This window comes from Homo sapiens, chromosome 9 (assembly GCF_000001405.40).
Source record: "Homo sapiens chromosome 9, GRCh38.p14 Primary Assembly".
Lineage (NCBI taxonomy): Eukaryota > Metazoa > Chordata > Mammalia > Primates > Hominidae > Homo > Homo sapiens.
Genome location: NC_000009.12, coordinates 98,847,654 through 98,864,673, shown reverse-complemented (window position 1 = coordinate 98,864,673; position 17,020 = coordinate 98,847,654). Strand labels below are relative to the sequence as shown.

The window sequence follows — 17,020 nt, the reverse complement described above, 5'->3', positions numbered from 1 at the left end:
TGCAGCTCTTGGATTCAATGTTTTCCCAGGGAGATGGACTAATTACAAGAGAAGTGTTGAAAAGTTGATATTCCTGCAGATGGAGAAGGAAGGAGGATTGGGAACCTCCAAGGACCTCTTTGTTCTACCACATGCAGCAAACAGCACAGAACTCAGGGCTTCTGTGAAGAGCAACAGTTCCCAGACACTCTGCTGGCTGAGGCTGATCTGGTTCCCAGGACACTTCTGGGATTGAGCAACCTGGGATCTTTGTCTGGTCAGCATCTTCTCTCCCTCAGGAAGTGGTCCCTGAGCTCTGATTCTGGCTGGTGCCCCAGGCTCCCAGCTTGGCCCCCCTCACCTCCTTCAATCCTCACCACCCCCTCAGAGGTAGTAGCACTGCCCCTATAATACAGAAGAGGATATCGTGGCTCGGAGTGGGTAAGTAACTTGCTCAAAGTCCATGTGACCAAGCAGAATTTATACTCAGGTCTCTCCTACTGCAAATCCTGGCCTGTTTTCAATCGATCATGCCAAACAAAGGCAAACTAAGGTCCCTAATTTTTTCCCTACTAATAAGAGTTTGCACTCAGACTCCGTTTGGGGAAATTTTTAAATATAATTTTTGTCAAAGGAATATATGTATTTAGCTTAAGAAACCTAATCATTCTCAAGGTTTATAATAAAATCAGCAGTCTCCCATTCCCACCTCTCTCCACCCCCAGATCTGGCTCCCAAGAGAGACTCTATTCTCAACTCCTCCAGCTATTTCTTCCAGTGTTTGCCTTCGTATTTTTGTTTGTTTGTTTTGAGACAGAGTCTTGCTCTGTCACCCAGGCTAGAGTGCAGTGGCGTGATCTTGGCTCACTGCAACCTCCACCTCCCGGGTTCAAGCAATTCTCCTGCCTCAGCCTCCCGAGTAGCTGGGATTACAGGCATCCACCACCATGCCTGGCTAATTTTTGTATTTTTAGTAGAGATGGGGTTTCGCCATGTTGACCAGGCTGGTCTTGAACTCCTGACCTCAGGTAATCCACCTGCCTCGGCCTCCCAAAGTGCTGGGATTACAGCCATGAGCCACCTCACCTGGCCAGTTTTTCTATTTTAGATGATTATTCTTGACTTCCTATTATGGAAAATGAAGGTTTGGGGTCTCACACCATTTCTGGTTTTCTCTCTCTCTCTGTCACACACACACACACACACACAGACACACACACACATGCACGCAGCCAGTCCCCACCCCACAGCCTGCCAATGTTTTACTACCCTCACAGCATTTGGGGGTCAGCCTGAGCTGGCCTGGACCTCTCTGTAAGGATACAGAAGACAGTCTTGATTTTTGGTAAAATGCAGCAGATTTCATGCAAACCTCTGTCTTCACTCACTCCCAGAATCCCAGTGAAAACCACACACCACAATGAAGAAACTAGGGCTGCTTAGCCTGGAGCAGAGTAAGTGTAAGGCCATATCCTCCCTACTTGACTTTCTGAGGGGTGTCCTGGAGCAGAGAGAGCAAACGCACTGGGTGGCCTCAGAGGGATCCCAGAGCAATAAGGGAAGTTGCAGGGAAAGTGATTCCCGCTTCATCAGGAAGCCACCCAAGAACAGAACGGGATGGCTGTGGAGTAAGTGGCAGTGGACAAGCTAGGGTCAGCTGGCTGTGTATTGGGAACGTGGAGGAGGAATTTCTGCATTAGGAAGGAGTTGAGCACATGACTTCTAAAGTCCCTTCAAGGTCTATAACCCAGTAATTTGCTTGTTAAAATAACCGTTGGTGGCCAGGCACGGTGGCTTATGCCTGTAATCCCAGCACTTTGGGAGGCCAAGGCAGGCAGATCACCTGAGGTCAGGAGTTCAAGACCAGCCTGGCCAACGTGTTGAAACCCCGTCTCTACTAAAAATGCAAAAATTAGCTAGGCATGGTGGCAGGTGCCTATAATCCCAGCTAGTCAGGAGGCTGTGGCAGGAGAATTGCTTGAACCCAGGAGATGGAGATTTCAGTCAGCCGAGATTGTGCCACTGCACTCCAGCCTGGGTAACAGAGCGAGATTCCATCTCATAAATAAATAAATGAAAAATAACTGTTGGCAATTAGAATCCAGTGGTGCTTTGCAATCACGCTTGAGTTAATAACTCAAGCCACCCAACAGACACACCCATTCTGGCAATTTCTTTATAGGATACTGAAATAACTGTCTTAAGATTCTCATGAGCAATCTGTTCCACTGACCCTTACCTCGTAAAAGAAAGTTCAAGATGATTCAGAAAGGAATCATGACATGGCGATTGAGACAGAACTCTCTATCCCCTGGGTATTAAGCACACTGAAGATGGGTAAGGGCTGGATGAAGCAATCGCAGTCAATTTGGCCACTGCCTGTAGGCCTCTCTGACTGAGCAGCAAGAACCTCAGAGAGGGAAACTGAAGACATACCTCCCACCCGCATCCTGTTTGAAAGAGAAAGAGGGCAGAGTGTGACATGGGCAAGGATGGAATTCCACCCGGACAGCTGCATGTGGAGGAGCAGGTCTGGTCCACAGGCAACTCTGAACTTGGAGCCCTGTCCCTAGTTCTTCTCCTTGACTTGACACTTTGGAAAGAAATGTGCTTGCCCAGAGATATCAATCAGCTATAAACTCCTGCACTCTCCAAGCAGGACAGACTCTCATTAACCGTCAGGCTGTAACTGGCAGTGTTGTGTACATGGATTAAGAGTGATCAGGGAATATGAGCTGCGTGACTTGGGCAGGCCCTCTCCTCCCCTCCCAGAGAGAGGAAGACAGAGCTGTTTGAGCTCTGGAGCAAGACTAAGTGCAAATCCCAGCCCTGCCGCTTATTATCTGTGCAAACTTAGACCAGTTCCTTACCCTCTCTGAGTCTCAATGTCCTTACCTTTTAAAGCAGGGGTGGTGGGCGGGAGGTGGAATGTTTTTAATTTTGAGAATTAAATTAGCTCATTTATATGAAGTGCTTAGAAAAGTGCTGAACACATAGTATCATTATTATTATTATTATTATTATTATTATTATTATTATTATTATCAGCAGCTGCAAACAGAAGGTAGCAACCTTCAGCTAACTGACTTCATAAGATCAAATAAAATGTTTGTTTTAAAAAAAAAAACCTTGGAAGTTGTGTATAGGTGTGAGAAATTTGGTGTGTAGTGTATTAAACCTCACAAACATTAGGAGACTGTAAGAGGCCAGTATTTCCAACTTCACTAATTAAATAAATATTGTGGCTATGATACACCAAGCTGCGTGGCAAAGTCTCTAGAACTTTTTGTTAAGATAGGAAATTAATTTGACTTTAAAATGTATACAATGTAATATAGCAAAGCCAATTTTTGAAGCTACAATTTTTAAAAAGAAGGAGAGAGTACCACTTTAACACTTTAAGAAAAGTGACACACCCAGGCCACATTTAGAACACTGACTGCTAAGTGGAATGATGGGAATTGGTCCCTGACTTGCTGCGTGATATCCAGCAAACCTCTTCCCTCCCTGGCTTCAGTTCCCCATCGGCTACATCTGGCACTAGATGATCTCTGGGAGCCTTCCAAGTCTGCCATCCCGGGATCTCTGACTTGGAGAATTTTTAGACCAATAGACTTGGTCTCCAGGAAAGCACTGTCATGTTTCCTGAGCTGACAACACCATCTAGTGTGTGTGTGCAAGGAAGACATGACTGCCTGGCTAACCAGGCGCTTTCTCCTCTCCGTCTCATTCTCACATATATGTTGCTACTCAAAATGTGGTCCACAGACCAGCAGCAATTGCATTATGTAAGAGCTTAGGGGACATGCAGAATCTCAGACCCCATCCTAGACCTACTGAACCTGAATCTATCTGCCTTTTTTTGTTTTTAATTTTGAGATGGAGTCTCGCTCTGTCTCCCAGGCTGGAGTGCAATGGCTTGATCTTGGCTCACTGCAACATCCGCCTCCTGGGTTCAAGTGATTCTCCTGCCTCAGCCTCCCGAGTAGTTTGGAATTACAGGCATGTGCCACCACATCTGGCTAATTTTGTATTTTTAGTAGAGATGGGGTTTCACCATGTTGGTCAGGCTGATCTCGAACTCCTGACCTCAAGTGATCCATTTGCCTCGGCCTACCAAAGAGCTGGGATTACAGGCGTGAGCCACCACGCCTGGCCTGAATCTGCCTTTTAACAAGATGCCAGGGGATTCCCACTATGCACATGAAAGTGTGAAAAGCGCTATTTTAATAGGAGGAGAAAAGGAAAGTAGGTTAGCAAAGGAAATTTAAGTTGAACAGATATTCAACCTATAAAGAAATCCAGAATTGGCCCCTAGAAATAAAACACATCCTTTCCAACTGACATGTAAAGGGCCTGTCACATGACAAAGATTCCATTTCTTGAGAATTTTTGGAAATTTTCAAAACAGAATCTTCTTGAATGGTAAGTAAATATCTGATGACAGCGATGGTTGCTCCTGAGCCCAAGTTTCCAATGCACCTGCATTGTCTACATTGCTATTAACATAATAATCCCACTGATGAGTCTCCATTTCCAGGAATTCAGCATGAACTTGGCCACTCTGAGCGCCTAGAGGCCACACTCAGGTCGAAGGCACGTGGCCCTGTGACAACGTGGCAGCTCACTTCTTCAAAGCCAGCAGCAGACACTCTCAGCAGGTGGCCTCTAGGAGCTGAGGTTCTCAGTCCTACAACCACAAGGAATGAATTTTGCCAAAAAACAGTGAGCTTGCAAGAAGACACCAAGGCTCAGATGAGACACCAGTCCCAGCCAACACCCTGATTTCAGCCTGCAAGATCCAAAGCTGCGATCCCCAGTTGAGCCAAGCAAGCCCTGATTTCTGACCTACAGGAACTGTGAGATAATAAATGGGTATTTTCAGCTGCTGCGTAGCCATAGAAAACTAATACAGATTTCGGTGCCTGGAAGTGAGATGTTGCTGTAACAAATACCTAAAATGGAGAAGGGTGGAGGGATTTTGAGGAGCATGATAAAGCCTGCATCTCCTTGTAGAAATGTGGATGGTTGCTTTGGGAGGCCGAGGCAGGAGGATTGCTGGAAGACAGGAGTTCAAGATCAGCGTGGGCAACAAAGTGAGACTCCGTCTCCACAAAAAATAATTTTTAAAAATTAGCTGGGCATGGTGGTGCATGCCTGTACTCCCACATACTTAGGAAGCTGAGGCAGGAGGATCACTTGAGCCCAGAAATTCGAGGCTGCAGTGAGTTATAATTGCACCACTGCACTCCAACCTGGGCGACAGACTGATATTCACAATATGGCAATAAGAGGAAGGAAGTGAGGAACATGTCATTGGAAACTGGAGGAAAGGGATCTTTGCTGGATAGTGGCAGAAACCTTAACAAAATTGTTTCCTGCAATGCTCGACATCACTAATCATCAGGGAAATGCAAATTTAAACCACGATGAGCTATCATCTCACCCCAGTTAGAATGGCTATTATCAAAATGACAAAGAAATTAACAAATGCTTGCAAGGATGCAGAGAAAGAGGAATGCTTGTACACTGTTGGTGGGAATGTAAAGTAGTACAACCATTATGGAAAACATCATGGAGGTGCCTCAAAAGTCTAAAAATAGAACTACCACATGATCCAGCAATCCCACTGCTGGGTATATATCCAAAAAAAGGAAATCCGAACATCCAAGAAATACCTGCACTCCCATGTTTATTGTAGCATTATTTACAATAGCCAAAATATGGAATCAACCTAAATGTTCATCACTAGATGAATGTATAAAGAAAATGTGGTTTATATATACAATGGAATACTATTCAGCAATAAGAAAGAAGGAAATCCTGTCATTTGCAGCAACACAGAGGTCATTATGTTAAGTGAAATAAGCCAGGCAAAGAAAGGCAAATATCACATGTTCTCAGGCACACGTGGGATCTAAAAAAGTGGGGCCAGTCACAGTGGCTCACACCTGTAATCCCTGCACTTTGGGAGGCCAAGGCAGGTGGATCACCTGAACTCAAGAGTTTGAGACCAGCCTGGTCAACATGGTGAAACCCCATCTCTACTAAAAATACAAAAATTAGCCGGGCATGTTGGCAGGCACCTGTAATCCCAGCTACTTGGGAGGCTGAGGCAGGAGAATCACTTGAACTCAGGAGGCGAGGTTGTAGTGAGCCAGGATCAGGCCACTGCCCTCCAGCCTGGGTGACAGAGGGAGACTCTGTCTCAAAAAACGAACAAACAAACAAACACCACTGGGTGCAGTAACCCACACCTGTAACCAGCACTGTGGGAGGCCAAAGCGGGTGAATCACCTGAGGTCAGGAGTGCAAAACTAGCCTGACCAACATGATGAAACCCCGTCTTTACTAAAAATACAAAAATTAGTTGGGCATGGTGGTGGGTACCTGTAACCTCAGCTACTCGGGAGGCTGAGGCAGGAGAATCTCTTGAACCTGGGAGGCAGTGGTTGCAGTGAACCAAGATCGAGCCATTGCACTCCAGTCTGGGAGACAGAGTGAGACTCTGTCTAAAAAATAATAATAATAAATAAAATAAATAAAAAATTAAAAAATGGATCTCATGGAGGTAGAGAGCAGAGTGAGGATTACCAGAAGCTGAGAAGAATAGGGGGAGGGAGAGTGAAGTGAAGTTGGTTAAGGGGTAAAAAAAAATAGTTAAATGTAAGGAACAGTTTCTAATATTCAACAGTATAGCAAGGAACTTATAGTTAACAATAATTTATTGTGTAATTAAAACTAGCTAGAAAAGAAGACTTGTACTGTTCCCAACACAAAGAAAAGATAAATGTTGAGGTGATACAGATATGCTAATTACCCTGATTTGACCATTACACATTGTATACAGTTATCAAAATATCACACCTACCCCCCAAATATGTACAACTATTACATATCAGTGAAAATAAATATTTTTAAAGATTTAAAAATTGTCTCCTGAAGTTATGTGGAAAGCAGAACTTATAAAAGATGAACCATTTATTTATTTATTATTTATTTTAAGTACAGTGTGTGGAAGTAAGGGATGAGCTTTGTTGTGCAGCAAAAGGAGATTTTCATCCAATGTTGCCAATGCTGCTTGGTTTCTCCTTGATGCTTAGAGTAAAATGTGAGTGAAGCGAGAGAGAGAGAGAGAGAGAGAGAGAGAGAGAGAGGAAAACCATGGCACAAAAATGAACTAGGACTGAATTGTTTAGAAAAAACTCCACCTCTCCAGGTGGCAAAAGGTGCTAAAAGTCAATGGCTGTGGAAAATGTGACATAGAGAAGAGGCTGAGTGTGTGGCTGTACAGCCTTTGGCTAAAACCTCAGAAAGATCAAAAGATCAGAGTACTCAGTCCCACAAGGGGCTCTTTCGAGAGATGAAGGGTGTGTGCACCTCACATATCTTCTCGACTCAGTCAGGGACAGCTAGGGAGCTCAAGGCCATTATTCCTCAGCCATCTTAGCAGGAGGCCAACATCGAAAAGGAATTAGTTTGCAAAGATCTGCGGATGTGGCTTCTGTCTGGTGGAATGAAAACCACTGAAATCCATGCAAGACCCACAGAGTTCTTGAGAAAATTGTCCAAGTAGAAATGCTGCCAGCTTGCGCTAAAAAAGTCAGGAAGCAGGCTGATAAAACTACTGAGCTGCAAATATGTGCTATCTCTTATAAAAAAGGAAGAGTGATGAGAGGGTGGAACCATGCCCAGAGGAAGGAGCTAAGAGCCCCTGAGATTATTCCTAGGTCTTGCAAGCTAATCAAAAATAGTCAAATATTTGCCTGGCTGGATTTCCAAACCGTGATAGACTCAGCAGACTCATGATGCCTTTTGACTTTGCATTCCCCACTTTTTGACCCAGAATGTCTGCAACTGTAATCCTGTGCCTGTCCCACCACTGTATATTGAGAATGCTGGGGCAGATAACTCTAGTTTCCCAGGACCACAGATGGGGAGGAATTGTGCCCCAGCGGCTGTACCTATTGGCTAACAACCAGAAGCCCATCTGTACCTGGACTTGATTTAGATTTTGAACTTTAAGGCAATGATATTTAGATTAAGATGATAACATTTTAGACTTTGAGCTCATGCTGTAATGAGACTCCAGGGAATCTTAGGAGGGTGTAAATGTATGTTGCATGTGGAAGGGATGTCAATTGTTGGGGGCCAGAGGGTGGGCTGTGGTAGGCAAGAATTCTAAGAGGACCCCTTGTTGTACATACCCCACATAATCCCCTTCTCCTTGAGTATGAACAGGATCTGTGAGTATGATGGTATAGTACTCCAGTGATGCAATTATGTGGATGTAATTAAGATCCCTAATCAGTTGACTTCTGTGTAAACAGAAGGGAAATTATCCTGAGTGGGCCTAACTTAATCAAGTGGCCCCTTGAAAGAGATAAGAATCAGTAACAAACACTCTCCTACTAGCCTTAAATGAGCAAATGTCATGTGGAGAGGGCCTCATAGCAGGGAATGGGAAATGGTCTTTTAGACCATTGGTCCATCCTATCACCCCAAGGAAGTGATTTCTGCCAACACCCAGTGAGCCTAGAAGAGGACCCTGAGTCCAAGATAAGATCACAGCCCTAGATGACACCTCAATTGGTGAGACTCTAAGCAGAGAATCCAACTAAGCCATGGCCAGACTTTGGACCTACAGACACTATGAAATAATATACTTGTTTTAATCTGCAAAGTTACAAAGGCTTCAAATTGGCCATTACAAATATAGTCAAAGAATTAAAGAAAACTATATTCAACAATTAAACTATATTCAAACAATTAAAGGAAAATGTACCAACAATGAGTCAATATATAGGGAACCTCAACAGAGAAACAAACACTATAATAAAGAACCAAATGGATATTGAGTTGAAAACTACAATAACTGAAATGAAAAGGTGATGAGATAGGCTTAACAGCAGGTTTGAGATGGCGGAAGAAATAAGTGAACTTAAAGATAGATAAAGACTGGTCCCAGTGGTTCATGCCAGTAATCCCAGCACTTTGGAATGCAGAGTTGGGAGGATCACTTGAGGCCAGACTTTCAAGACCAGCCTGAGCAACATAGCAAGACCCTAAAAAAAATACAAAAAAATTAGCTGGGGGTGGTGTGTGCCTGTAGTTCCATCTGCTTGGGGGCTGAGGCAGGAGAATTGCTTGAGCCCAGGAGGCGTTCAAGTCTGCAGTGAGCTATGATTGCACCACTGTACTCTAGTCTGGGTGACAGAGTAAGACCTTGACTCTAAAAACAAACAAACAAACAACAAACAAACAAAACCAGCAGAAGTCCAATTTGAAGAACACAGAAAGGGGTAGAAAAAAAATTAAAGAAATAATGGCTAAAACCTTCCCAAATTAATAAAAAACATTAAATTACATTCCAAAAAGTTCAACAAACCCCAAGTATGAAAAACACAAGCAGACCACACCTAGACACATCATAATCAAACTGCTGAAATATAAAGACAAAGAGAAAATCTTGGAAGGCAGCAAGAGAAACATGAATTATCACACAGAAGTAACAATATCAACAAACACCTTCCCATTCAAAACAGGGAGATCCTACAGCAGTCCAATCACACATTCCAGGGTTGAAAGGAAAAATAAAGAACCTGTCAACTAGAGTTCTAGATCCAACTAAACTCTTTCAATAATGGAAGGCAGAATAAATATATTCCTGGATAAACAAAAACTGAATTTGTTGCAAACTGACCTCTCCTAGATAAACTACTAAAGTTCTTATGCTCAAAGAAAATGGCACCAAATGGTTACTCAGATTCACAGGAAGTAATGTAGAACATGGGAAATGGTACATATGTCTGTAAATATAACAGACTCTGTGTGTGTGAGTGTGTGTGTGCATATATATATATATATATATATATATAATCTTCTTTTACTGTTGAAAGCAGTAATTATACCCTTCTCTTATTGAGTATATAATATATATAGTATATATGTCCATAATAGCACAGAGGAGGGGCTAGGAAGTAGAGCTGCATTGGTGTAAATTTGCCAAATTTTACTGGAATTAACTCCATGCTAAACTGATGAAAATTGTGATGAATTCAGGAAGCACACTGGAATCCCTAAGGCAACCGCTAAAAAAGTAACTAAGAAATATAGCTAAGAAATCAACAGAGGACATATTTATCCTCATTATGCAGATAAGAAAATGAGTCTGTAGTGAATTCTTATAATTTTATGTTGCCTCAGCATCTGTTTTGAATATAAATTGGAATTTTTCATACCAGAAGCAGGACTTAGTCACCCTTGAGACACAATTTCCAGTTCTCCACCTCTTCCCAGTTCCTCAATGTGGTTGATCCAGATATCTGCTTATACAACTGCCTTCTTGTGACTACCTCCCTAGGGGACAGCTAGATACAACCTACTTGACTTGCCCACCGATCCCTACACTTCACATGACCTGTGTAGATATGCACAGCAACCACTTCCCAGTCACCTGTGACCTCCCGGAACTCCTGCCTGCTTGTTCCAAACCCATCAATTAAAACTCCCATTGGGAAAACTGCTTGGTTTCCCTGGATCCCAATAAAGGCTTTGGCCCCGGCTGGGCACAGTGGCTCATGCCTGTAATCCCAGCACTTTGGGAGGCCGAGGCGGGTGGCGTGTCTGAGGTCAGGAGTTTGAGACCAGCCTGACCAGCATGGTGAAACACCCTCTCTACTAAATACAAAAAATTAGCCAGGCATGGTGGTGCCTGCCTGCAATCCCAGACACTTGGGAGGCTGAGGCAGGAGAATCGCTTGAACCCGGGAGGCAGAGGTTGCAGTGAGCCAAGATTGCACCATTGCACTCCAGCCTGGGCAATAAAAAGGCTTTGGCCCAAAGGTCCCTCTCTCTTGCTCCCCATATGCTGGTTGAATGCATATTCTGGACAGCTCTCACCCTCCTATTGGCCCCGTGAGGCCTCCTTCCCCGGCCTCTCTGATCTGTGAGTAACATGCTTTTCTGTTATTTCATGTGGGGTTTTTTTGTTTTTTTTGTTTTGTTTTGTTGTTTGTTTCTTTGAGACAGAGTTTTGCTTATCACCCAGCCTGGAGTGCAATGGTGCGATCTTCGCTCACTGCAACCTCCACTTCCCAGATTCAAGTGATTCTCCTGCCTCAGCCTCCCCAGTAGCTAGGATTACAGGAGCCCACCACCACACCCAGCTAATTTTTGTATTTTTATTAGAGTTGGGGTTTTGCCATGTTGGTCAGGCTGGTCTTGAACTCCTGATGTCAGGTGATCCACTGGCTCAGCCTCCCAAAGTGCTGGGATTACAGGTGTGAGCCATGCCTAGCCTTATTTCATGTGTTTTGCTGAGTTGCCTCTTCTGTGTCTCACCTGACCAACACACCCAAACCTACCTTCTTCCCCCGTCAGGGCTCTCCTGGAGAGGGGCTGTCTTGGTAGGAATAAACTGAGCAGGTCAGACAAGAGCCACAAAGGCATCTTCCAGTATAAACCAAGTTTTCTGTGAGAGGAACACCCTGTCATGGGTTGGACACCCAGGCATTAGGCTGTCTGCCAGGATGAAGTGTCCCATGAAAGACACACTATAAACATTCATGACCAAATCCCTAGAGCCCTGGCAGGGCAGGGCTAGAGTTTTTACCCATGCTCTTGAGACAGACCTCAAGACCAAATTAGAGGAAACTACAACAGAGTCCTAGAAGGCGAAACAATCTGCCAATCTGCCACAGCTGGGGCTGGCCCCCAGGACTCCAACTCCACACATCAGCCCTGGATTCACACCTGCCAGGGAGGCAGGTGGGGGCAGGTGGGGGCAGGTGGGAACCCACTCGGGTACAGTGAATAGATGTGTGAATTCCCTCACATCCCTATGGGCTTTTTCTCAGGCTCTTCACCCATCGGTGAAGAGAACGTTTTCTCGAGATGTTGTAAATTCCCTCCCAGTCTGTGTAAAGATTTCCCTTGACACCCCCCAAAATATGATTTCTATTTTATATTGACTGTTTTCGAGCCTAAAAATGACCGAATGTAAGCGGATGCAGGAGTTAGAGGGGCGACTTCTCAAGCAAAACTAATTAGCTGCCATGCTCGGCAGACTCTCCAGACATGCAACCTCTGCAGCCTCCCTGCACTCTTGATGGATTTTGTCAGCATTAATTTTATGTCTGCCTGAACTGTCTCCCTGCATCTGGGAGGGCCCAACACCCCTTCATCAAGCTCACACTGATGTGACAGAAACGGTGGGGAGGGGAGACAGGGTAGGACTTCCTAACTCATGGGTTGAGGGGGGGCATTGCGTCTGTTTTCACAAGTTCCCACAGCGGTAGGAAGGGAAGCTTGGCCCACACTGCCTCACATTTATGAGAACTGAGCTGTGTCGAAAGCTATTCCTGCCTGCTAAAGAGCTGTTTAATCCCATAAAGATTTTAAAAAGCTAAACTACTTAATATTTATTTTTGAATAAATATTAAAGTACATTTCTGAAAATAGAAGCTGATATTTAATAAGCCCATACTGTGGGCCAGTGTCAGGGGTGTTCAAACCACAGTAACTCCATCTTGAACAGGGGCTGGGTAAAATGAGGCTGAGACCTGCTGGGCTGCATTCCCAGGAGGTTAGGCATTCTTAGTCACAGGATGAGATAGAAGGTCAGCAGAAGATACACGTCACAAAGAACCCGCTGATAAGACAGGATGCAGTAAAGAAGCCAGCCAAAACCCACCAAAACCAAGATGGGATGAAAGCAACCTCTGGTGGTCCTCACTGCTTATTATACATTAATTATAATGCATTCACCTGCTAAAGACACTCCCCCCAGCACCATGACAGTTTACAAGTGCCATGGCAATGCTAAGAAGTTACTCTATATGGTCTATGAGAAGGAGCCCTCAGTTCTGGGAAGTCCTCGCCCCTTTCTCAGAAAACTCATGAATCATCCACTCCTTGTTTAGCATATAATCAAGAAATAACTACAGAAATAGCCCACCAGTAGTCCTCGGGGGTACTCTGGACCCCCAAGAATGGAATAGCCATTCTTGTTTCTTTACTTCTCTAATAAACTTGCTTTCACTTTACTCTTTGGACTCACCCTGAATTCTTTCTTGTGCGTAATCCAAGATCCAGATCCCTTTCTGGTAACACCAGGGCCTAAGCCCTGACCTGCTATGTGTTATTTAATCCTCACAGCTATCCCATATCTTGGTTTAATTATCCCTGTTTTTCCAATGAAGAAACTGAAGTACAGATAAGTTAAGTTGCATCAGATGGATTCGAGCCAGCCCAAGCCAAGTTGTTTCTGGGTAAATGTTAAACTGGTCCTTGACAGGATCTGAGTGGAGAATGTATGTCAAAAAGAGCCTGAGACACAAATTGATACCTTTTAATCAATTCCACGTGTATCTTCATCGCTCCCATCTGATTGGTCCTGTAAACCAAAAACTATCTGAGACAGGTCTCAATCCATTCAGAGGTTTATTTTGCCAAGGTTAAGGATCATGGCCTGTGACACAACCTCAGGAGGTCCTGAGAATATGTGCCCAAGGTGGTTGGTTACAGCTTGATTTTACACATCTTAGGGAAACAGAAGTTACAGGCAGACATAACTTGGTTTGGCCTGGAAAGGCGGGACATCTTAAAGAAGGGGGCGGGGGGCGGGGCTTCCAGGTCACACGCGAATGCGAAGATTTCCTGATTGGCAATTGGTTGAAAGAGTTAAGCTCTGCCTGAAGAGTCCAAGTCAGCTGAACTAAGTAAGGGGTGGGGTGGGGTGGGGTGGGGTGGGGGGGATGGTGGGTGGAAGCCAAGGTTCTTATGTAGATGAAGCTCCAGGTAGCAGGCTTCAGAGAAAATAGATGTGAAGGTCTCTTATCAGACCTTAAAAAGTGTCAGACTCTCCTGAAAAGACCTAGTTAGGGAAGGAGATTCTCTACAGAATGTAAATTTCCCCCGCAAGAGACAGCTTTGCAGGGCCATTTCAGAATATGTTAAAGAAATATATTTTGTGGCAAAATACTTGGATTTCCTTCAGGGTCATAGGATGTTATACCAGTCAGGTTGGAATTTGGTATGTGTTGCTACAAAGAGTCTGTTTGGTCCATCTTAAGAGATCTGTTTTAACGTGAATGCCAGTCAGTTGTCTTTAAACTCCAAAGGGAGGAGAGGGTAATGAGGCTTGTCTGGATACTGCTCCCTTCTCATCATGGCCTGAACTAGTTTTTCAGTTCTGAACTAGGTTCAGGTTTTTTTGGGATCTTCTTGGCCAAGAGAGGAGTCCATTCAATCAGATGGGGGACCCCAGAATTTTATTTTTTATTTTTTGAGGCAAAGTCTGGCTCTGTCGCCCAGGCTGGAGTAGAGTGGCGCGATCTTGGCTCACTGCAACCTCCGCCTCCTGGGTTCAGGAGACTCTTCTGCCTCAGCCTCCGGAGTAGCTGGGATTACAGGCGCATGCCACCACGTCCAGCTAATTTTTGTATTTTTAATAGAGACGGGGTTTCGCCATGTTGACCAGGCTGGTCTCGAACTCCTGACCTCAAGTGATCTGCCCTCCTTGCCCTCCCAAAGTGCTAGGAGTATAGGCGTGAGCCACCGCACCCGGCCCTAGAATTTTATTTTTGGTTTACAGTACAAAAAGATCTGCAGTCAGTGTTCTCACATCTTTTTAATCATTCATATTGACTTAATCAGGTTGACAAAATCTCAGGGTTGGTCTGGGATCATTCACAAATCAGAATTACTCAGAGAAATTTTCACAGCAGTTGCAGCAGCACAAACTCTAACGCTGATTTAAATTAATAACTGTTATTAATGAACAAACTTGAAAAAGGAATTTCATATAGAACATTACATTTCTCCCTGACACTACCGTATCATAAAAATTAAAAATGATATAAACATGTTTTAAAGTCATAGTGGTAGAACCAGCCACACTACAGTGCGGCATTGTTAGAAGTTCGCTCTCAAGTTGACTCAGCTTAGTAAAGCAAATTGTTCTCTGAGATTTCAGCTTTGGTTAGTCCTCTTTGGCTGACATGAACATTATGGAGTGTTAACTGTGGTAGCAACACATAACCAAAAAGCATTCTTTTTAAAATACATCTAGAAGATCTCAATGACCTGAATAAATCAATACAATGTTCCTAGTGACAGTCTCTCTATACTGGGAAAACTTTAACCCCGCAGCTGAGGTATTATCAGTTAATGCAAAGTACGTTGCTTGAACCTGATTTCCACCCATGCAGATATCTTCGTACCTGGGAATTCTTGTAAATACCAAAATAAAATCTTTATCTTTTTTGCTAATGAGAGTAAAAGGCACGACTGTAAAATATACATCTTGATAGAAAAATATTATAAGGTTTTAATTTTCTAAATACCAAGGGTTAACATCTTACGATTACCCTTTGAAAATAGGGTATTTTGGAACATTTAAAAAGTTCTCAAAATAAGTACAAAGCTTATTCACATTTTTACTAAATCCAACACAACTTTCACAAATGGCAAAATGATTGCCTCTTCAAAGCAATGCAGCCTAGTTTTTGGTGGGTTCTGGTCACTGCTTAGCTAAGTCTTTGTTGGGCAGAGTCCTGGCTCCACAGTCTCCTTCGATGGGCTCCTTGATACACGAGGCTTCATAACATGCGCTCTTTGAAGAACCATTTCTGATGATCCGAGTTGGTGCAGTCTCGTAAGAGTGGAACGAAACTGTCACTCGACTCCTTCCTCGCAGCCTGGACACATTTCTTGGACTGTTCGTGAAATAAAGATCCATCCTACAAAAGATAACAGAATGACAGGCAAGTCATCAGAAAAGTCTCTTTTTCCTAAAGACATGTTTTAAAGAGATCAGGGTCTGATTTTTACCATTTCAGAAATATTTATTGAGGGGTAAGTGTCTTCCGTGTAACGCAGCAACTCAGGACTGTCCCGGGGACACAGCACCAGGCTTGTACAGGCTGCGTCCCGCTTGCCTCTCACAGGACCGATGGTGCCACCTGCTGGCTGCTCTGGGCATGTGTCATACCCTACATCTCCCTATTGCATTTGGCTTCCTTCAGGGAAATCAGGAACAAAGATCCTTTGTTTATCTCTTTCACTCCTCTTAGGTCAACTCATTCCGTGCAGGGTGATCTCTTTCTCTTAGGTATTTAAACAGAGTGTGGAAACTTGGCTGTAGTCCCAGCTCAGCCACAGACCAGATGGATGAGGAAGCCAGTCACTTGGCCTGAGCTACTCACCTGTCACACATCAGAGAATCAGTGGGTTATATGCCTTGTGCCAATTCCCAAACCCCAAAGACGATGGTCTTCTTTAATGACCTCCTGCTTCTCTCCTTTCTGCCAGCCCTTGCTCAATTATCTCAGCAAGTCTCTCTCTCAGGCCTGGTGTTTATCTTTTCCCTCTGCCTCTCTGTTATAAGCTGTATGCAACGAACTTAATCATGGCTGAGCAGCAAACAGGCAGAGTGAATAACAACATCAGTGAAAAACCTTTGTGATGTGCTGTTCACTAAATGGAACTTTTTTCATTCAAAAAAATCCAAACTCATGTTTTGTAGAATCCAAGAAATGACATTTCAGAGGTTTTTAGGCCTACATAAGAAAATACAAGGCTGGGCACAGTAGCTCACGCCTGTAATCGCAGCACTTTGAGAGGCTGAGGCAGGTGGATCACTTGAGGCCAAAGAGCTCAAGACCAGCCTGGCCAACATGGCAAAACTCCATCTCTACTAAAAATACAAAAAATTAGCTGGGCGTGGTGGCGGGCGCCTGTAGTCCCAGCTACTCAGGAGACTGAGACAGGAGAATCGCTTGAACCCAGGAGGCAGAGGTTGCAGTGAGCTGAGATTGCACCCCTGCACTCCAGCCTTGGTGGAGCAAGGCTCCGTCTCAAAAAAAAAAAAAAAAAAAAAAGATCCAGCCCTAAGAACTAAGCTTTCTATTATGGTCTAGTGAATATAAGTGGGGACATTTCCTTCAGAATTCACATATGTTTCTGTTCAATATATATTTGTTTTATATATATATATTTAGGGCATGACTGATGAAATATAATAAATCAAGCTGTATCC

General features: G+C 44.0%; 1 protein-coding gene across 6 annotated transcripts in view, besides 2 other annotated features; it reads right to left on the bottom strand.

Annotated features, from left to right (window-relative positions):
• Window positions 4,519-4,729: a silencer, noted in NCBI's record as "fragment chr9:101622227-101622437 (GRCh37/hg19 assembly coordinates)". NCBI's record gives its function as "represses an EF-1alpha promoter that drives an FKBP-Casp9 reporter gene in an ReSE screen in K562 erythroleukemia cells {active_cell/tissue: K562}" and the evidence as "EXISTENCE:reporter gene assay evidence [ECO:0000049][PMID:32094911]".
• GALNT12 (polypeptide N-acetylgalactosaminyltransferase 12) overlaps window positions 14,593-17,020 on the bottom strand; it is a 42,412-nt gene continuing 39,984 nt past the window's right edge. For all 6 annotated transcript variants that reach the window (NM_024642.5, XM_006717287.1, XM_011519018.3 and 3 more), the window contains one exon: window positions 14,593-15,722. In NM_024642.5, coding sequence (NP_078918.3) covers window positions 15,582-15,722 — 141 coding nt within the window. In that variant the 3' untranslated portion in view covers window positions 14,593-15,581. The remainder of the gene's footprint in view (window positions 15,723-17,020) is intronic.
• Window positions 15,733-16,027: an enhancer, noted in NCBI's record as "tiled region #15412; HepG2 Activating non-DNase unmatched - State 12:CtcfO". NCBI's record gives its function as "activates a minimal TATA promoter and a strong SV40 promoter by Sharpr-MPRA in HepG2 cells {active_cell/tissue: HepG2}" and the evidence as "EXISTENCE:reporter gene assay evidence [ECO:0000049][PMID:27701403]".